General features: G+C 46.7%; 7 annotated features.

Annotated features, from left to right (window-relative positions):
* Positions 3373–3422: a silencer, noted in NCBI's record as "silent region_4949". NCBI's record gives its function as "represses an Ori minimal core promoter by ATAC-STARR-seq in GM12878 lymphoblastoid cells {active_cell/tissue: GM12878}" and the evidence as "EXISTENCE:reporter gene assay evidence [ECO:0000049][PMID:35858748]".
* Positions 4678–4797: an enhancer, noted in NCBI's record as "active region_7142". NCBI's record gives its function as "activates an Ori minimal core promoter by ATAC-STARR-seq in GM12878 lymphoblastoid cells {active_cell/tissue: GM12878}" and the evidence as "EXISTENCE:reporter gene assay evidence [ECO:0000049][PMID:35858748]".
* Positions 6591–7356: an enhancer, noted in NCBI's record as "H3K27ac-H3K4me1 hESC enhancer chr12:120839499-120840264 (GRCh37/hg19 assembly coordinates)". NCBI's record gives its function as "activates a minimal SCP1, AML or CMV promoter by ChIP-STARR-seq in naive H9 embryonic stem cells {active_cell/tissue: H9 hESC(naive)}" and the evidence as "EXISTENCE:reporter gene assay evidence [ECO:0000049][PMID:30033119]".
* Positions 6591–7435: a biological region, named in NCBI's record as "Sharpr-MPRA regulatory region 12947".
* Positions 7141–7435: an enhancer, noted in NCBI's record as "tiled region #12947; K562 Activating DNase matched - State 8:EnhW". NCBI's record gives its function as "activates a minimal TATA promoter and a strong SV40 promoter by Sharpr-MPRA in K562 cells {active_cell/tissue: K562}" and the evidence as "EXISTENCE:reporter gene assay evidence [ECO:0000049][PMID:27701403]".
* Positions 9347–9547: a silencer, noted in NCBI's record as "peak2004 fragment used in MPRA reporter construct". NCBI's record gives its function as "represses an SCP1 promoter by STARR-seq MPRAs in K562 erythroleukemia cells {active_cell/tissue: K562}" and the evidence as "EXISTENCE:reporter gene assay evidence [ECO:0000049][PMID:32103011]".
* Positions 12587–12787: a silencer, noted in NCBI's record as "peak2005 fragment used in MPRA reporter construct". NCBI's record gives its function as "represses an SCP1 promoter by STARR-seq MPRAs in K562 erythroleukemia cells {active_cell/tissue: K562}" and the evidence as "EXISTENCE:reporter gene assay evidence [ECO:0000049][PMID:32103011]".

Raw genomic sequence — 21400 nt, forward strand, 5'->3', positions numbered from 1 at the left:
TATACCATTTTGGGCAAGTGACTGCCTCTCAGAGCCTCAGTTTCCTAATCTGTAAAATAGGTTGATAATAACAGTAGCTACCTCAAAGGGTTGAAATGAGAATAGAATGAGAACAGGCATCTAACATAGCCAGTTCAATTGCTACTGCCCATCCAGCACTGGATAATAGCTCCCTGTGTAGAGCACCCACTATGTGTCAGCCCTATGCTGTATCCTTTTTTTTTTTTTTTTTGAGACGGGGTCTCACTATGTTGCCCAGGCTGATCTTGAACTCCTGGGCTCAAGCAACTCTCCTGTGTGCCACCATGGCTGGCCCTTTTATAAGGTGTTACCCCATTTTGCCTTGCCTGCCCGCCTGCCTGCCTGCCTTCCTTCCTTTCTTCCTTCCTCCTTCTTTCCTTTCTTTCTTTTTTGAGACAGTCTCACTTTCTTGCCCAGGCTGGAGTGCAGTGGCACCATCTCGGCTCACTGCAACCTCTGCTGCCCGGGTTCAAGCAATTCTCCTGCCTCAGCCTCCCAAGTAGCTGGGATTAAGGTGCCTGCCACCGTGCCTGGCTAATTTTTGTGGTTTGAGCAGAGACAGGGTTTTGTCATCTTGGCCAGGCTAGTCTTGAACTCCTGACCTCATGATCCACCCACCTCAGCCTCCAAAAGTGCTGGGATTACAGGTGTGAGCCACCGTGCCCGGCCCATTTTGCCTTTTCAACCACTCTGTGAGATAATTAACATTATCACCCCCCATTGCACAGATGAAGAAACCGAGGCCCAGAGGGACTGACGCACTTGCTCGAGACCTACCCCAAGCCAGTCTGTTCTCTTAACGTCTATTCTGCAGTTTGATATGTGACCATTCACAGTGAGCTTGGTCAATACAAAGATGTTCCCAGAAACATGTGTCATCGTTATATATTTAATGTGCAGGAGAAAAAAAATTAAAGTAGCATTTTAAGCCTGTGAGTTCACAAATAGTATTGCTTAGGTTAAATATATTTAAGTTCATACAGTGACCAGTGCAAGTATGGTCATAGCGGCTTTATTCATAATAGCAAAAACTGGAAACAATCAAGACACCCATCAACAAGAAAATAGAGGAACAAACCGTGGAACAGCCATATAATGGAATACTCAGCCAGCAGCGAAAGGGAACAAACAACTGGTCAATCTACAATGGGGACAAATGTCACAGACTTTTTTTGTTTGTTTGTTTTGTTTTTTGTTTTTTTGAAATGAAATCTCACTCTGTAGCCCAGGCTGGAGTGCAGTGGTGCAATTTTGGCTCACTGCAACCTCCGCCTCCCGGATTCAAGTGATTCTCCTATCTCAGCCTCCCAAGTAGCTGGGATTACAGTCACCTGCCACCATGCCCAGCTAATTTTTGCATTTTTGTAGAGATGGGGTTTCGCTGTGTTGGCCAGCTGGTCTCGAACTCCTGACCTCAGGTGATACTGATCCACCCACCTGGGCCTCTCAAAGTGCTGGGATTACAGGCGTGAGCCACCATGCCCATCCTCACAAACATAATACTGAGCGAAAGAAGCTAGACTTGAGTGTACACATTATACTATACGATTCCACTGATACGAAGTTCAAGAATAGCTAAAGCAAATCTATGGCTGCCAATGGGGAGGTGGATACTGCTCAACTGCTCAGGGACGCCAGGGAACCTTCTGGGGTGATGGGAATATTCTATATCTTTTTTTTTTTTTTTTTGAGATGGAGTCTCGCTCTGTCGCCCAGGCCAGAGTGCAGTGGCACCACTTCGGTTCACTGCAACCTCCGCTTCTCGGGTTCAAGTAATTCTCCTGCCTCAGCCTCCTGAGTAGCTGGAATTACAGGCGTGCACCACCACCCCTGGCTAATTTTTGTATTTTTAGTAGAGAGGGGATTTCACCTTGTTGGCCAGGCTGGTCTCGAACTCCTGACTTCAAGTGATTCGCCCACCTCGGCCTCCCAAAGTGCTGAGATTACAGGCGTCAGCCACCACTGCTGGCCGGGAATATTCTATATCTTGATGTGGGTGCGGTCACATGAGTGTTCTTGTAGGCAAAAATGCATCAACAGGTACATTTCATATTTGTTCAAGTTAATGTATTTGCACTATGCATCAATAAATCACGGTTAATAGGTTAAGGGAGTTTTTTGTTTTGTTTTGTAGAGATGGGATCTCACTTTGTTGCTCAAGCTGATCTTGAACTCCTGGCTTCAAGTGATCCTCCCCCCCTCAGCCTCCCAAAGTGCTGGGATTACAGGCTTGAGCCACGGAGCTCGGCCAGGTTAAGATTTTTAAAAAATAAATTTATTTAAAGAAAAATTCTATCTAAATAGCAGTTCGGGGTGTGCAGATATGGCCAAAAAATAAAAATAAAAAACAAAAAGCAAGCAAACAAACAAAACTTCAACCACTGAAGTTGGGGGTAATATAAGTGCTAGGCAATGCAGATGTATTCAGCTTCCCCTTCAAAGGGTGCCAGACAAAATACAGGACGCCTAGTTAAGTTGAAATTTCAGATAATCAACCAATACTTTTTGAGTGTAAGTATGTCCCATGCAATATTTGGGACATACTTATACTTTGTTTTTTGTCTGCTTTTGTTATTTATCAGAAATTCACATTTAACTGGAAGTCCTGTATTTTTATTTGCTAAATCTGGCCACCCTGCCCTCCTGGGATCCCACCCCGTCTCGCAGCCCGGTGCCCACCGCAGGCGGGTACACCCTGCGCGGTGCAGTCACTCCGGGCGCAGCCTGGCAACGCGGCCACAAAGGGAGCCCGGGAGGCGGAATCTTTCCACATGCCTGATCAATGGGGGCGCGGAGACGGCGGCGCAAACAGGCCTGAGACAGCCGCACAAAGAGGAGGCCCCTCGGTCGCTCCCGCCTTCCATTGATCCTGGTCCTTTGTGGCTCGGACAACGGGGGCGCGGGAGGCGCCTTGCGGGGACTTGGCCGTTTCTCATTAGAGGGAGAAGGCCTGTGAGCACCCCCGTCCCGCCAGCCCTCCCCACCGTTCCTCCTCCCGTGGGCTCCAGGCCTCAGGTCTGGGGCTGTCCAAACCTATCAGGGGAACTGGGCAGGGCACAGGGTGGGGTCGGACCAGGCTAGGAAGGTCTGGAGCCTGCCTGTGGGGGCCAGCCACCCAGCCCCCGCCTCCTGAGGACCCCCCAGTCTCCTCTGGCGGGCCCTCTCTGTCCCCTTGGTTACAGGCAGGTTTTGCACAGTCTCTGTTTTTTTATTTATTGAGCAAATATTTATTGAGCGTTTGTTCCAAGCTGTTCCCACTCCCTCCTGCCCCCATGGCCACTTAAACTAGCCAATTCCTCCTCCAAGCATCACCTCTCTGGGAAAGCACCTCTCAGTCCTCTCTCACCTCAGGTTGGGTAGTGAAACCCCACTACACATACACACACCCCGTGTGCCTCTCCCCACCTCCCTGCTCTTCATTCATGATAAAAATGACTAACAATTATGAAGTACTTACTATGCCTGCCATGCTAAACATTTTATTGCTGTCTCCTTTAATTCTCATAACACCCCTCTAGATTGGAGCTACTATGATCTCCATTTTCCAGAGGTGGAAACTGAGGTTTGGCATGCTAAAATGGTCACCCAAAGTCATACAGCAAGCGGTAGAGTGGAGATTTGAATGCAGGTGATGAATTGCAGTTTGAGATCTTCACATCCCAAGTTCCAGACTCTATGCAGGATTCATTGCTGTGGCCCAGTAATGAACTGTTTACTCCATCAGCACATTTACCCACTGTACTGTGTCTATTTGGCCTTTTCCGTCTGTGTTCCCCACTAGACTGATTGGTCTGTGACCGCAGCACCCAGCACAGAGAAGGTGCCCAGGGTATATTTGCTAATCTGAACTATTGGGTTTAAGAATTTTGGTTGGGCGCGATGGCTCACGCCTGTCATCCCAACACTTTGGGAGGCCAAGGCGGGCAGATCACCTGAGGTCAGGAGTTCAAGACCAGCCTGGCCAACATGGTGAAACCCCGTCTTTACTAAAAATACAAAAATTAGCCAGATGTGGTGGCAGTCGCCTGTAATCCCAGCTACTTGGGAGGCTGAGGCAAGAGAATCTCTTGAACCCGGGAGGCAGAGGTTGCAGTGAGCCAACATTGTGCTGCCACACTCCAACCTGGGCAACATAGTCAGAGTCCATCTCAAAAAAAAAAAACAAAAAAAAGAATTTTGCTAGGCCCTCAGGCTGGGAAGTGAGGGGAGGACCTAAAGATGAATCTATTACAGTCTCTGCCCACAAATGAGCTTGAAATCAGACACTCAAATAATATAGGAAGGGTTGCAGAGCTCTGGAGTCTGGTATACCTTCCCCACCCCCTTGAAAAGATCAGCTTCATTGAGGTATAATTTACATGCAGGAAAATACACCCATTTTAAGTGTCCAGTTCGATGAACATTGACAAATGCATACACCCATGTAACTAGTATCAATGTCAGATGTAAAACATTTCCATCTTCTCAAATAGGTTCCTCAGGCTCTTTGCAGTGAATGCCCCGCCCACCCTGTCCCACGCAACCCCTGATCTGCTTTCTGTCACTATAAGTTAGTTTGCATTTTCTAGAGTTTCATATAAATGAAATCATACAATGTGTACTCGTTTGCATCTGGCTTTTTTCGCTCACCATGCTAATGTGGTGATTCATCCATACTGTGGAGTGACCTTTCAGTTCTAAATCCTCTCTCTGCTTGTGACCTCTTTGAGTTTCACCCTCTTCATCTGTAAGACAGGGGTGGATTCTGTGAAATTTCGTTAAGAGAATGTCTGCCAAGTGCACAGGACCTGCACACAGTTGGCATGCAATAAACGCTCTTGATTAGTATAACCTTCCTGCTAGACTGTAAGCTCCATGAGGACAGGGACCTTGGTCATTTTGTTCACCACTCTCCACTAACTGCAGTGGCTACCGTTTATTACAGACAGTGAATAGGAGCTCGGAGACCTACAGCAAACCTGTCCAAGATCACACAACTAGTAAGAGGCAGAGCTGGGATTTGAACCCAGGCAAACTAGTGCTGGAGTCCTTACTTTTTAAATTTTTTTGAAACAGGGTCTCACTGTGTCGCCCAGACTGGAGAGCAGCAGCACGATCTTGGCTCACTGCAGCCTCCACCTCCCAGGCTCAAGTGATCCTCCCACCTCAGCCTCCCAAGTAGTTGGGACTACATGTACCCACCACCACGCCCAGCTAATTTTTGTACTTTTTGTAGAGACAGGGTCTCACTATGTTGCCCAGGCTGGTCTTGAACTCCTGAACTCAAGCAATCCACTCCCCTCAGCTTCCCAAAGTGCTGGATTATAGGCGTGAGCCACCACACCACACCTGGCCTCTTTTTTATTTTATTTATTTATTTTTTTTGGACAGAGTCACGCTCTGTTGCCCATCTTGGCTCACTGAAACTTTCACCTCCTGGGTTCAAGCAATTCTCATGCCTCACTTTCCCAAGTAGCTGGGACTACAGGCACCCTCCACCATGCCTGGCTAATTTTTGTAGTTTTAGTAGAGACAGGGTTTCACCATGTTGCCCAGGCTGGTCTTGAACTCCTGAACTCAAGCGATCTGCCCACCTCAGCCTCCCAAAGTGCTGGGATTACGGTCATGAGCCACCGCAGCTGACCTCTTTTATTATTATTATTACGGTATTATGTATGGGGTCCTCATCTTAATCACTATACTAAACTACCTCACAATCATTGTTCTCTCTAACAATCTCCCCAAATCTTCTCTTCTTGTCACCTTCACCCTTTACTGACCACTCTATGGAGGGAGCATAATATAAAAAAAAAAACTCTACAACTACTAATATATATTTTTAGTTTATGTGTGAGGCAGTATTCTAAGCACTTGACATTTATTTACTTGTGTAACTCCTCAATAATGCTGTAAGGTAGCATTATTGGGCATCTCCCCATTTTACAGATGAATGAGTAAATTGTAGTGTAACTGAGAGGCTGTGGTGTTGGAGTCAAGAAATCTTCCTTTTTTAAAAAAGTGACACATGGGCCGGGCGCGGTGGCTCATGCCTGCAATCCCAGCACTTTGGGAGGCCAAGGCAGGCGGATCACGAGGTCAGGAGATTGAGACCATCCTGGCTAACATGGTGAAACCCCGTCTCTACTAAAAATACAAAACATCAGCCGGGCGTGATGGCGGGCGCCTGTAGTCCCAGCTACTGGGGAGGCTGAGGCAGGAGAATGGCGTGAACCCGGGGGGCGGAGCTTGCAGTGAGCTGAGATGGCGCCACTGCACTCAGGACTGGGCGACAGAGCGATACTCCATCTCAAAAAAAAAAAAAGTTATACATAATAATGGTACATATTTTGGGGGCACATGTGGTATTTTGATACATACATGCAATGTGTGATGATCAAATCAGGATAACTGGGACATCCATCAACCCAAATATTCACCCCTTCTTCATGTTGGGAAACATCTCCGTTCCTCTCCTCCAGCAAATTTTTTTTTTTTTTTTTTTTTTTTTGAGACGGAATCTCATTCTGTGGCCCAGGCCAGAGTGCAGTGGCGTGATCTCGGCTTACGGCAACCTCCGCCTCCCAGGTTCATGTGATTCTCCTGCCTCAGCCTCCCAAGTAGCTGGGATTACAGGCACCCGCTACAACATCCAGCTAATTTTTGTATTTTTTTAGTAGAGACGGGTTCTTTCGCCATGTTGGACAGGCTGGTCTCGAACTCCTGACCTCAGGTGATCTGCCTGCCTCGGCCTCCCAAAGTGTTGGGATTACAGGCGTGAGCCACCGCTCCCAGCCAAGCAATTTTGAACTCTATGACAAATTATTAACTCTAGTCTCCCTACTGTATGGTAGAACGCTAGATCTTATTCTTTCTCAATGTATTTTCGAAGGACAGCTTCCTTTTGAAGCCCGGCTTTGTCATGCTTTCCACGGGACTCGAGCAAATCTCCTCCCCTGACAGCTTGTGTATTCCTCTTGCCAGGACGTCCCCAGAGCCCCTTCTTTGACCTGACATTTTTTTCTGGGCGCTTCTCTCTGACCCCTCGGCAGGGTTTTCTCTTCCTCTTCTAAGTTTCTTTCCCCAGTCCCTTCCTGGGCCTTAGCAGGCCAAGGTTACAATTTCAAAAGGAGTTGAGTTTCTTCTGGAAAGGAGCTGGGACCGAACCCCTCCCCTCCATGGTCTCTTCCCATAAATGCCCCCTGTGTGCAGCGCCCAGGGGCCCCGGGGAGCCTGGCCGGCTGATCTGTAATTAGAAACTTTTCTGCCTTCACGACAGGAGGAGGGAGGGCCCAGGTCTGGCCCAGTCATTTTGTTCGTCATGAATTATTCAGGAGATGGGAAGTGGCGTGAAGCCGGCCCCTCTGCTGACCAAAGCCATGCCCAAGGCAGCCCGACCTACTCAGCTCTGCCTCTTTCACCGTTTCAGATCCAGAGAATAAACAAACCATGTGCCAGGCACGTTTATGGAGGGCGTTTTCATCAGACTCGATGAGGGAGCATGTTCTTCAGCTGAGAGGGGTGACAGGGACTTATCCAAGGTCACAAGCCTAGGAAGAGGACGGCTGAGCTGGGAGTCAAACCCAGGAACATGATGCGAGGTTCCGTGCTCATTTGGTGCTATTACAGATGCTGGGCAGAGGAGGAGGGGAGGAGACCCCACCAGGCCGGCTAGGAGAAGATAAAAGATGCTTTCCTTTCTCCGCTTGCCTTGCTCTTGCTAAGTCTGGGGGATGGAGAAGGGGGATAATATGGAAAGGAGACAACTAACCTCATGGAGACCAGCTGGGTGACAAGCAAGAATTATTATTGTTATTGTTACTATTACAGACAGGATCTTGCTCTGTTGCCCGGGCTGGCGTGATCTCGGCTCAATGCAGCCTTGACTTCCCTGGCTCAAGAGATCCTCCCATCTCGGCCTCCTGAGTACCTGGGACTACAGGTGCACGCCACCACACCCAGCTAATTTTTCATATTTTTTGTAGAGATGAGGTCTTTCTATGTTGCCCAGGTTGATCTTGAACTCCTGAGCTCAAGCGATCCTCCTGCCTCAGCCTCCCGAAGTGCTGGGATTACAGGCATGAGCCACCGCACCCAGCCAAGCAGGTATTATTTTGCCTGCAGTATTTAATAGAATCCTCGCTAACCTCTGAGGAAGGTGTTATTATGCCCATTTTATGGATGTAGAAACAAAGATCTTGTTTGTTTTTTTGAGATGGAGTTTCGCTCTTGTTGCCCAGGCTGGAGTGCAATGGCGCAATCTTGGCTCACTGCAACCTCCACCTCCTGGGTTCAAGCGATTCTCTTGCCTCAGCCTCCCAAGTAGCTGGGATTACAGGCAAGCACCACCACACCTGGCTAATTTTTGTATTTCTAGTAGAGACGAGGTTTTGCCATGTTGGCCAGGCTGGTCTCAAACTCCTGACCTCAGGTGATCCGCCCACTTTGGCCTCCCAAAGTGCTGGGATTACAGGCGTGAGCCACCGTGCCTGGCCACAGAGATCTTAAAGGAGTTTATTCAAGACACATAACAGCTGGTTAGCGGCAGGTTAGGGGCTCAATCTTGGCACTTCTCTGTGCGTTGCACTCTTTCTCCTCCACTCCTGTGGGTAGGGAAGCAGGGCTACCGAGGAATCTCAGCTCCTGAGTCCACAATGGTCCTTGGATCAGACTTGCCTTGTTGTCACACCTCTCAGTGTCCAGGCACTGCTCCAGGATAAACCCTCATGAGTGTGTGGATGATATCTGCCATCCCACATTGGTTAACCTTGCAAGGTGGTCCTTTAGAAGGCTCAGGGCTTCCTCATTGGCACGGAGCTGGCAATTCTGAGAGATAGATCAGCTCTAACTGTAGTTCCTGGAGAAACTAAAGCACAGAATTTGGAAAGGATGCCCTGGCTCCACTCCTTACTCTCTGTATAAACTTGGGCCAATTCCTTAACCTCTCTGTCAATTTGCCCATTGATGAAGTGAGATGAAGATAAGAAATAAACATGGCCAGGCGTGGTGGCCATGCCTGTAATCCCAGCACTTTAGGAAGCCGAGGTGGGCAGTTGCCTCAGCTTAGGAGTTGGAGACCAGCCTGGGCAACATGGTGAAGCCCCAGCTCTAGTAAAAATACAAGAAAATTACTCCTGATGACAGCTTCTCATTAAATTTGGTTAACAGAGAGGCAGCAACTACCAGATGGTGAACATGTGTCTTCTGGAAACAGCCCCCCAGTTTTCCCTGGGGAACTCTCCCTCTCCCAATATCAGTTCCTGTATCTTGGATGGAACTTACTCTGCCCACCTGTGCCTCCAGGGTTGGCCCTGGGATCCAGCCTGGCCACAGGATTGGTTGAAGAACAGGCATATGACCCAATGGGAGCCAATCAGTGGGAGACTTGAGATTTTTGCTGGAGAGAGGCACTGTTTTTTAACCAACAGGAAAAAGCATGGGTGGAGCTCCTGAGAGCCTTCTTGTCACCCTGGGGAGGAGCGTGTCTGTCTGAGATTGAAACCACAGAAGAAAGCAGAGTCAAGACATGGCAAGGACATGAATTGGAATCTTTGAACTCCTTGATCCAGTTGTAAATCAGTAAATAATAATAATTATTATGATTCTTTGCTTTGTTTGCATCAGTGAGTTTTCTGTCATTTACAACTAGGAATGCTGAGGAAACTTGCCAACAATGTGCCAATGTGTGTGCTCTCTCTCTCTCTCTCTGTCTATATATATGTACATATATATATATATATATATATTTTTTTTTTTTTTTTGAGACGGAGTCTTGCTCTGTTGCCCAGGCCACAGTTCAGTGGCCGATCTCAGCTCACTGAAACCTCCATCTCCTGGGTTCAAGCAATTCTCCCGTCCAGCCTCCTGAGTAGCTGAGACTACAGGGCACAGCATCACGCCCAGCTAATTTTTGTATTTCTAGTAGAGATGGGGTTTCACCATATTGGTCAGGCTGGTCTCGAACACCTGACCTCAGGTGATCTACCTGCCTCAGCCTCCCGGAGTGCTGGGATTATAGGATTACAGGCGTGTGCTATATATGGGCCAGACGCGGTGGCTCACGTCTGTAATCCCAGCACTTTGGGAGGCTGAGATGGGTGGATCATGAGGTCAGTAGTTCGAGACCAGCCTGGCCAATATGGTGAAACCCTGACTCTACTAAAAATACAAAAATTAGCTAGGTGCGGTGGCGTGAGCCTGTAGTCCCAGCTACTCAGGAGGCTGAGGCAAGAGAATCGCTTGAACCCGGAAGGTGGAGGTTGCAGTGAGCCAAGATCACGCCACCGCACTCCAGCCTGAGTGACATAGTGAGACTCCGTATCTACGAAACAAAACAAACAATATATGTATATTTGTTTTGTTTTGTTTTGTAGAGACAGGGTCTCGCTATGTTGCCCAGGCTGATCTTCAACACCTGACCTCAAGCGATCCTCCCACCTCGGCCTCCCAAAGTACAGATGTGAGCCACTGTGCCCAGCCACACATCTTTCTCTCTCTCCATATATATATATGGTGGTGCACACCTGTAATTTCAGCACTTTGGGAGGCTGAGGGAGGAGGATCACTTGAGCCCAGGAGTTTGAGGCCAGCTTGGGCAACATAGTGAGAGCCCATCTCTATTTATTGAAAATAAAACAAGAAATAAAACAAAATGGGGCCAGGTGTGGTGGCTCATGTCTGTTATATATATATACACACACACACACACACACACATATATATAGTGTATATATATGTATATGTGTATATAGAGTATAAATATATATACTCTATATACATATATACATATATACACATATACGTATATATAGATAAATATATATACATATATATTTATAATATATATGTATATAGAGGATATATACTATAGATCCTCTATATACATATATACACACACATATATAGTGTGTGTGTATATCTATCTTTGATTAAAATAACAGTATATGCTGAAGAGTCACTTCTAATTATTACTTTTGTTTTACAAACTTAGGTCAAGAGAGAATGTGGAGTAAGGCCTTAAGATTCATAACAACGCCTAGGTGCAAATGAAGGGCCTTTACTCACTGGACTTATGCTGTCATGGAGTCATAGACTTAGAGTCATGGATTGGCTTTAACTATGGTTTTCCTTTCTGCTTTCAGGAAAACATTTAATTTCCACCCTGGGCGTAGTCTATGCCCAGCTTCCTTGTGGTGCGCTGTTTCTGTCTGCCTTTTGTCTGTGTGCTGGTGGTGTCAGAGCCAGTAACTATCTGTTTACAGTTTCAGACAGTAGCATTAATTGCCTTTTGAACCTCCCATTTTCCTCCAAGAACTCCCTGCCTAACTGTCTCAACTGTCTCCCTGGAGTTTCTTTTCTGTGTGGAAATGTCTATTTTTTTTCCCATAAAATCTGACCACCTGCAAATCCCTACATATTCTCTTGTGAGTAGGCAACATGAGAGAAAGACATGTAGGTGGCAGATAATCTGCGCAAATCAGAGCTTACAGGATGAAGCTTCTAGGCCAAACAACAAGGCAGCTGTTGGGTGGCAGAAAGAGCCCTGGAATTGGAGGCAGACCAGCAAGTGAAATCTGGTTTTGTTACTTACTTGCTCTGTGACCTGGGACAAGTTACTGCATACTGCTGAGCCTCAGTCTCCTCATCCATAAAATGGGCACAGACTGGGTGCAGTGGTGCACACCTGTAATTCCAGCACTTTGGGAGGCTGAGGCAGGAGGATCACTTGAGCCCAGGACTTTGAGACTAGCCTGGGCAACATAGCGAGATCCCATCTCTATTTCTTTAAAACAAAACAAAAAATAAAATAAAATGGGGCCAAGCGTGGTGGCTTATGCCTGTAATCCCAGCACTTTGGGAGGCTGAGGTGGGTGGATTGCCTGAGGTCAGGAGTTCGAGACCAGTGAAACTCCGTCTCTACTAAACATACAAACATGTCTACAACATGGTGAATCTCCGTCTCTACTAAAAATACAAAAATTAACTGGGCATGGTGGCACACACCTGTAATCCCAGCTACTTGGGAGGCTGAGGCAGGAGACTCGCTTGAACCTGGGAGGCGTAGGTTGCAGTGAGGCAAGATCATGCCATTGCACTCCAGCCTGGGCGACAAGAGTGAAACTCTGTCTCAAAAAAAAGAAAAGAAAATAATACCTGTTTCACAAGGTTGGATAATTTACCCGTATGACAAAGGCACTGTCTTCTGGAAAAGCACATTTCTCTGCCCTTTACTTGTCTAGTATGGGTTCAAAATAGTAATAAAACTAACATTTATTGAACACTGAGTTTGAGCTCAGCATTATTTCAGCCTTACGACAAATCCTTCAGGGGGCCAGCCACTGTGGCTCACACCTGTAATCCCAATACTTTGGGAGGCCGAGGTGGCAGGATCACTTGAGCCCAGGGGCTCGAGACCAGCCTAGGCAACATAGGGAGACCCTGTCTCTATTAAAAAAATAAATAAAATAAAAAATAAAAATAAATTTAAAATACCAAACCCTTCAAAGTTGTTGCTATTATAATACTCCCACTTCACAGGGATGGAAGTAGAGGATCCGAGAGTAAGTTGCTGAAATCACACAGCTAAGTGGCAAAGCTGGGATTTGAACCCAACAGTTTCACTTTACAGCTTACTCTTAACCAGGACCATATGGCCTCCACTGTGGTAGTAGATATCAGCCACCCACAGTGGAGGCCAGATAGGGCTAAAAGCTGTGGGTGCTGCCTCCTGGGGAAAACCACATTGTTCTCCGACTTCCCTGGCCCATATGCCAACTCTACTTCATAAAGAGCTGATTTTTTTTTTTTTTGAGATGGAATCTCGCTCTGTCACCCAGACTGGAGTGCAATGGCGTGATCTTGGCCTACTGCAACCTCTGTCTGCTGGGTTCAAGCAATTCTCCTGCCTCAGCCTCCTGAGTAACTGGGATCACAGGTGTGCCACCATGCCCGGCTAATTTTTTGTAATTTTAGTAGAGACGGGGTTTCACCATGCTGGCAATGCTGGTCTCCAAATCCTGACCTTGTGATCCGCCTGCCTCAGCCTCCCAAAGTGCTGGGATTACAGGCGTGAGCCACCGCGCCCTGCAAGAGCTAATGTTTTATTTTGTTATTTTTTATAGAGACAAGGTCTTGCTCTGTCACCCCGGCTAGAGTGTAGTGGTGTGATCATAGCTCACTGCAGCCTCAAACTTTTGGGCTTAAGTGATCCTCCTGCCTCAGCCTCTCAAAGTGCTGGGATTACAAGTGTAAGCCATTGTGCCTGGCCAGCTTGATGAGGTTTTTTTGTTTGTTTGAGACAGAATCTGGCTCTGTTGCCCATACTAGAGTGCAATGGCATGATGTCAGCTCACTGCAACCTCCGCCTCCGGGGTTCAAGCAATTCTCCTGCCTCAGCCTCCCAAGTAGCTGGGACCACAGGCGTGTGCCACCATGCCCAGCTAATTTTTGTATTTTTAGTAGAGACGGAGTTTTGCCTTGTTGGCCAGGTTGGTCCCGAACTCCTGACCTTAAGTGATCCACCCACCTCGGCCTCCCAAAGTGCTGGGATTAAGGGTGTGAGCCACCGCCTCCCACCCAGCTTGATGTTTTAAGAGTCCAGACCCTAACTACTCTTGGGAGACATGGTGGGAATAAGGAAGTGGCAGCTGGGCTTTGGAATCCAAACCCTGGCCCCTCCTGGACACTCATGCCTCCTGTGTACCAAGGGGAAGGTGGAGAAACCAAGGAGATAGGTCCTGTGGGAGCCTGGACAGGGGAATCCATGGGCACATACATCTCTACGTGCTTGGGCACCATGATGTCAGCAGAGCACTGGTTAACACATGCATGCACCCACGCCGTCAGACTCACGGTGAACACGTGAGTACACATGTGCATATCTGTGGCTCCACAAGTACGCATATCCCTCACTCACACACTCACAGGTCCGCCCACCCTGCACTGAATTCCTGGATTTTGTCAGAACCCCATTAGGGCCGGGCGCGGTGGCTCACGCCTGGTAATCCCAGCACTTTGGGAGGCCAAGGCAGGCAGATCACTTGAGGTCAGGAGTTTGAGACCAGCCTGGCCAACATGGTGAAACCCCATCTCTACTAAAAATACAAAAATTAGCCGGGTGTGGTGGTGCACACCTGTAATCCCAGCTACTCAAGAGGCTGAGGCAGGAGAATTGCTTGAACTCAGGAGCTGGAGGTTGCAGTGAGCCGAGATCGCACCACTGCATTCCAGCCTGGGCAACAGAGTGAGACTCTGTCTCAAAAAATAAAAAAAAATTTAAAAAAAAGAAAAGAAAAGAAAAAAGAACCTCATTAGGCAGAATAGCAGAATAGCTAGGTCAAGTGTACAACTCTGCTCTTGCCTGTTGGGTTTGAATCCTGGTTCTGCCAAATACCAGCCAAGTCTTTGGGCAAATCCTCTCATCTTTCTGTGCCTCTACTTACCCATCTGCAAATGGGAGTAATAATAATATCTGTTCCTTTGAGTTGTTGGGAGTTTAAAGAATTGTAGGGTGTCGCCGGGCACGGTGTCTCATGCCTGTAATCCCAGCACTTTGGGAGGCCGAGGCGGGTGGATCACGAGGTCAGGAGATCGAGACCATCCTGGCTAACATGGTGAAACCCCTGTCTCTACTAAAAATATAAAAATTAGCTGGGCATGGTGGTGTGTGCCTATAGTCCCAGCTACTTGGGAGGCTGAGGCAAGAGAATTGCTTGAACCCGGGAGGAAGAGGTTGTGGTGAGCCAAGATCATGCCACTGCACTCCAGCCTGGGTGACAGAGCAAGACTTTGTCTCAAAAAAAAAAAAAAAAAAAAAAAAAGGTCCTGGTGCGGTGGCTGACGCCCGTAATCCCAGCACTTTGAGAGGCCAAGGTGGGTGGATCATGAGATCAGGAGTTCAAGACCAGCCTACCCAATATAGTGAAACTCCGTCTCTACTAAAAACACAAAACTTAGTTGGGCATGGTGGCGTGTGCCTGTAGTCCCAGCTGCTCCAGAGGCTGAGGTAAGAGAATCACTTGAACCCAGGAGGCAGAGGTTGCAGTGAGCTAAGACTGCACCACTGCACTCCAGCCTGGGCAACAGGGCAAAACTCTGTCTCAAAAAAAAATTTGTAAAATATTAAAAATGTATAAATATATATATAGAGAAAACTAGAAGGAAATAAATTAAAATGTTAATATGGTTGCCTTGAATAATATGGGGGATTATATTTTATTTAATCAACACTATTTCTTTAAGAAACTGTGTTTATTTAATGGACATTTTTTGTTTTTTTGGTTTTTTTTTGAGATGGAGTCTTGCTCTGTTGCCAAACTGGAGTGCAGTGGCGAGATCTCTGCTCACTGCAACCTCCGCCTCCAAAGTTCAAGCGATTCTCCTGCCTCAGCCTCCTGAGTAGCTGGGACTACAGGTGCGCCTCACCATGCCCAGCTAATTTTTATATTTTTAGTAGAGACAGGGTTTCACCATGTTGGATTACAGGTGTGAGCCTCCGTGCCCGGCCTGTATTTTCTTTAATAAATATATATTAGAATTATATATAGCAAAACCACATTTCTTTTGTTTTGTTTTGTTTTTGAGACAGAGTCTTGCTCTGTCACCCAGGCTGATATGCAGTGGCATGATCTCTGCTCACTGCAACCTCTGCCTTCCGGGTTCAAACAATTCTCCTGCCTCAGCCTCCCAAGCAGCTGGGATGACAGGCGCCTGCCACCACCCCCGGCTAATTTTTGTATTTTTAGTAGAGATAGAGTTTCACCATGTTGGCCAGGCTTGTCCTGAACTCCTGACCTTAGGTGATCCACCCACCTCAGCCTCCCAATGTGTAGGGATTACAGGCATGAGCCACTGCATCCAGCCCTAAACCACATTTCTATTAGCTAGTTTTTAAAAATTACAAATGTAACATGTGCTCACATTAAAAGAAAAAAATGCGTCAGTACACAAAGGTATAAGATGAAAAAGTAAAAGTTCTTTACCCCTTAGACTCCTTCCCTAAATGTAACTGTTACCAATTTCATGTATATCCTTCCAAAAATGTTCCATGCCTATATACTTAGATATGATTATTATATTTTAAAAAATAGATATAGGCTACTTGGGAGGCTGAGATGGGAGGATCACTTGAGCCCAAGAGGTCGAGGCTGCAGTGAGGTATAATCACGCCATTGCACTCTAGTCTGGGCAACAGAGTGAGACCGTCTCAAACAAAACAAAACAAAAATAGATATAGAATCACACAATCCAAATGATTTTGGAACTTGCTTAGTTATTTACTATAGTACAGATTTTTGGATATCTTTGCATGTATGATATACTCTTTTTTTTTTTTTTTTGAGACGGAGTCTCACTGTCACCCAGGCTGGAATGCAGTGACGTGATCTTGGCTCACTGCAACCTCTGCCTCCCAGATTCAAGCAATTCTCATGCCTCAGCCTCCCGAGTAACTGGGATTATGGGTGAGGGCCACCATGCCCGGCTAATTTTTGTATTTTTAGTAGAGACAGGGTTTCACTATGTTGGCCAGGCTGGTCTCCAACTCCTGGCCTCAAGTGATACACCCGCCTCAGCCTCCCAAATGGCTGGGATTACAGGCGTGAGTCGCTGCACCTGGCCTGATATACTCTTTTTTTCTTTTTCTTTCTTTCTTTTTTTTTTTTTTTTTTGAGATGGAGCCTTGCTCTGTCGCCCAGGCTGGAGTGCAGTGGCACGATCTTGGCTCACTGCAACCTCTGCCTCCCGGGTTCGAGTGATTCTCCTGCCTCAGCCTCCCTAGTAGCTGGGATTACAGGTGCGCACCACCACGCCTGGCTAATTTTTGTATTTTTAGTAGAGGCAGGGTTTCACCATATTGGCTAGGCTGATCCTGAACTCCTGACCTCGTGATCCACCCGCCTCGGCTTCCCAAAGTGCTGGGATTACAGGCCTGAGCCACCACGCCCAGCCGATATACTCTTATAATGACTACAAAACATTTCACTGTAAAGTTACATGATGATTTACTTACTTAATTTCCTACTGATGACCATCAAGTTTGTTGCTAGCCTTTGCTTTTATAAACACCTTCAAAATGAACAAATTTGTTTCTACTATTTACCTACTCCTACTCACATGAATAGAATTTTAGATGTGGAATTGCTGGACCCCAAGGGCTTGTGTATTTCATATTTCAAAATAATGCCATCCAGTAACATACATATATATAGGTGGTCCTCTGTATTTATTCATTCCACATCCCTGGACTCCACCAACCTTGATGGAAAATATTTGGGAAAAAACCCTGCATCTGTATTGAACATAGACAGACTTTTTTCCTTATCATTATTCCCTAAAAAACACAGTATAACAATGATTTACCGGGCATTGACATTGTATTAGGGATCATAAGTAATCTAGAAATGACTTAGAGTATACAGGAGGGTATGCATAGATAATATGCAAATACTATGCCATTTTATATCAGGGACTTGAACATCTGTGGATTTTGGTATCTGAGGGAGGTGCCAGAACTAATCCCCCAGGGACACTGAATGACGACTGTATATAAAGCACAAGAAGAGAAAAGATGAATGGAAGAAAAAAACCTCAGTGTGAGGCCAGATGCCATGGCTCACGCCTGTGATCCCAGCAGCACTTTGGGAGGCTAAGGCGGGTGGATCACCAGGTCAGGAGTTCGAGACCAGCGTGGCCAACATGGTGAAACCCGGTCTCTACTAAAAATACAAAAATTAGCCAGGTGTGGTGGCGCGTGCTTGTAATCCCAGCTACTCAGGAGGTTGAGGCAGGAGAATCGCTTGAACCCAGGAGGCAGAGGAGGCAGTGAGCCAAGGTCACACCACTGCACCCCGACTCAAAATAAATAAATAAATAAAAAGAATAAAAGAAAAAAAAAGAAAACCTCAGTGTGTTAAGTTGTACCCAAAGTGTTTGTGCAGTATAAGTATGCAAAATGAACATAAAATAAAAATGAACTACTTAGCCAAGAAATAAATCATCTATGGCCATATACTTAAATATTAAAAGTGTTTTTCTTTGATTTCCTTTAATGCAGAATCAAGGAAGAAAAAAAATGATATTCTTTCATGGAGCCACAGATAGTTTTTATACTTTATTTTCTCAATGTCTTATATCAAATATTAATTTCTTTTCTGTAATCAGAAAACAGTACCATGGATACTATGAAAAATAACGTTGTGCTTTTTAATTAAAAAGCAATACATAGTCATTGTAATAAGTTTAAAAATAAAAAATGTATAAAAATGTTAATAATGTCCCTTTCTTTACCTCTAAATTTACCCGCTGGCCAGGCACAGTAGCTCACACCTGTAATCCCAGCACTTGGGAGGCCGAGGTGGGCGGAACACCTGAGGTGAGACCAGCCTGGCCAACAGGGTGAAACCCCCTCTCTACTAAAAATACAAAAATTAGCCAGGCATGGTGGCGCGCACCTGTTATCCCACCTACTCGGGAGGCTGAGGACACGAGAATCACTTGAACCCGGGAGGCAGAGGTTGCAGGAAGCTGAAATTGCCCCACTGCACTCCAGCCTGGATGACAGAGTGAGACTCCGTCTCAAAAATAAATAAACAAACAAACTTACCCCTCGAAATAAACAATGTTAACGGCCTGGATAGGAATCTTTTCAAACATTTTTCTATAATAGAGTGTGTGATTTTTACATCAGAAATGAATTTTAAAACCTTAAAAATTTTGTTTAATTACCCCTGCCTGGCACTTCAGCAGATCACCCTTGCTATCTCCAACCCTGTCAAGCTGTGTGCCCTCTTTCTGTGTCCAAACAACTTGCCCTCAAAGAAACCTACTTGGGGCCCTGCTCCCTGGAGGCACCTGCGCCTCTGCCTTGGCTCAGGTTCAGCAGAAATCAAGGCCAGACCCAGGAAGTGTTGGCCCCAGCTCTAGCCTGATCCCGGCCCTGGAGAGCCAGCGCTCCCCAGCCTGGGGAGCGAGGGGCCCGGCGCCAGGCGAGGCCCTGGGCTCCCAGAGAGGCCTCCTTCCCGCCCGCTTTCTCTAGGAGTAATTAAGAGTGAAATCCTCCTCCTGGTGACCCCGTGCTCCAGGCCCGGGCTGATTTACACATGAAAGGTCTACGGAGGGCCTGGGCTTTCTCCTTTTCACATTCACAATGAGGCACAGCCTATAAATAAAACCTCTCTGGGAAACAAGAGGCTTCAAAATGTGTGTGTGTGTGTGTGTGTGTGTCTGTCCCCCAGAGGGAGTGTGTGTGTGTGTGTGTCCCTGTGTGTGTCCCAGAGTGTGTGTGTGTGTCCCAGAGGGAGTGTGTTTGTGTGTGTGTCTGTGAGAGGGAGAGACAGACCCAGAAGGAGAGAGACCAGAGGGAGAGGGGGAGTTTGAAAGGGCTAGAAAAGGGAAGGAGTGTGAATAAAAGCTGGTGTTAATTGAGCGCTTACTGTGTGCCAGGCAACCATCCTCACAGCAATCCTGTAAGGGTGGTTTTATGGTTCCCATTTTAAAGATGAAGAAACTGAGGTTCAAAGAGGGCAAGAGTTGCCCAAGATAACACAGTGAATTAAGGGGAAGGCTTGGACTCAGGAAGTGGGATGAACATAAGATTCAAATGATGGGCCGGGCGCGGTGGCTTACACCTATAATCCCAGCACTTTGGGAGGCTGAGGTGGGTGGATCACCTGAGGTCAGGAGTTCAAGACCAGTCTGTCCAACATGGTGAAACCCTGTCTCCACTAAAAATACAAAAATTAGCTGAGCGTGGTGGTGCGTGCCTGTGGTCCCTGCTACTCCGGAGGCTGAGGCAGGATAATTGCTTGAACCTGGGAAGCAGAGGTTGCAGTGAGCCAAGATCACGCCACTGCACTCCAGCCTCGGTAAAAGGGCAAGGTTCCGACTCAAAAAAAAAAAAAAAGATTCAAATGATGACCTGTGTCTTTGTGTCTTGATTGTGATGATGATTACAGGACTATGCATTTGCCACATATGTACTAAAAAGGGAGAATTTTACTGTATGTATACTGCAATAACCATGACTTTTATCATTTTTAATTTTATTTATGTATTTATTTTTGAGAAAGAGTCTCGCTCTGTTGCCCAGGCTAGACTACAGTGGCACGGTCTGAGCTCACTACAACCTCCACCTCCCAGGTTCAAGCAATTCTCCTACCTCAGCCTCCTGAGTAGCTGGGACTACAGGTGTGCACCACCATGCCCAGCTAATTTTTGTATTTTTTAGTAGAGATGGGGTTTTGCCATATTGGGCAGGCTGGTCTCAATCTCCTGACCTCAGGTGATTCACCTGCCTCGGCCTCCCAGAGTACTGGGATTACAGGTGTGAGCCACCGTGCCCGGCCAATCCTGACTTTTAAAAAGGTAAAATAAAATAGGCCAGGTGTGGTGGCTCACGTCTGTAATCCCAGCACTTTGGAAGCCGAGGTGGGAGGAGCTCTTGATCTCAGGAGTTCAAGACCAGCCTGGGCAACATGGCAAGATCCTATCTCTACCAAAAAAAAAAAAAAAATTAACTGGGCACAGTGGCACATGCCTGTAGTCCTTGCTAGTGGGGAGGCTGAGATGGGAGGATTGCTTGAGGCTAGGGAATTGAGGCTGCAGTGAGTTATATTTCCACCACTGCACTCCAGCCTGGACAACGGAGTGAGACCATGTCTCAAAATTTACAAAATAATAATAATAAAATAAAATACATACAAAAAAACAGAGGCCAATGGGCAGTGATTGGTGAGGTATCCTGGATACTTGAGGCCTCTCTATACCATTCCCTCTAGCAGGCCTGTTAACCTTATTCACCTCTGTATCCCCAGGCTCAGGGCTCAATAATGGGGAATGTAGATATTAGGGAAATGTTTGCTCAATTGATTGAATACATGGGCTAAGTCATTCTCTCTGGACTCATTTTGCCATCTATAAAATGAGAAAATGATGAAACACTATGGCAAACACCTCCTAATCAGCCTCAGAGGTCACCACCTGCAGGAAGTCTTCATGGATTCCCTTCCACCCGCAGATTGATCAAGGGCCTCTTCTGGCCTCTTACAGAGCCAGGTTGTGTTCCCATCCCTGCACTGACTATAGTGTACAATATTTGTCTGGTTCTGCTCTGTGGAGGCACCTGTGCCTCTGCCTTGGCCCGGGTTCAGCAAAAATCAAGGCTAGGCCTAGAAAGTGATGGGAAATACTCCACGTGAATATTCAGGTTCTTTGCAGTAGGGCCAATGTCCATTTTGCTCCTCTCTGTACCCCAAGTACCTATCCCATAGCATGTAGAATGTTTGAGAAATTAATGAATTAATGCATTTATGAGCTCTGGTCTCAGGTTCAAATGTGAATCATGGCTGGGCGCGGTGGCTCACACCTGTAATCCCAGCACTTTGGGAGACCGAGGAGGGTGCATCAC

Source organism: Homo sapiens, chromosome 12 (genome assembly GCF_000001405.40).
Source record: "Homo sapiens chromosome 12, GRCh38.p14 Primary Assembly".
NCBI lineage: Eukaryota > Metazoa > Chordata > Mammalia > Primates > Hominidae > Homo > Homo sapiens.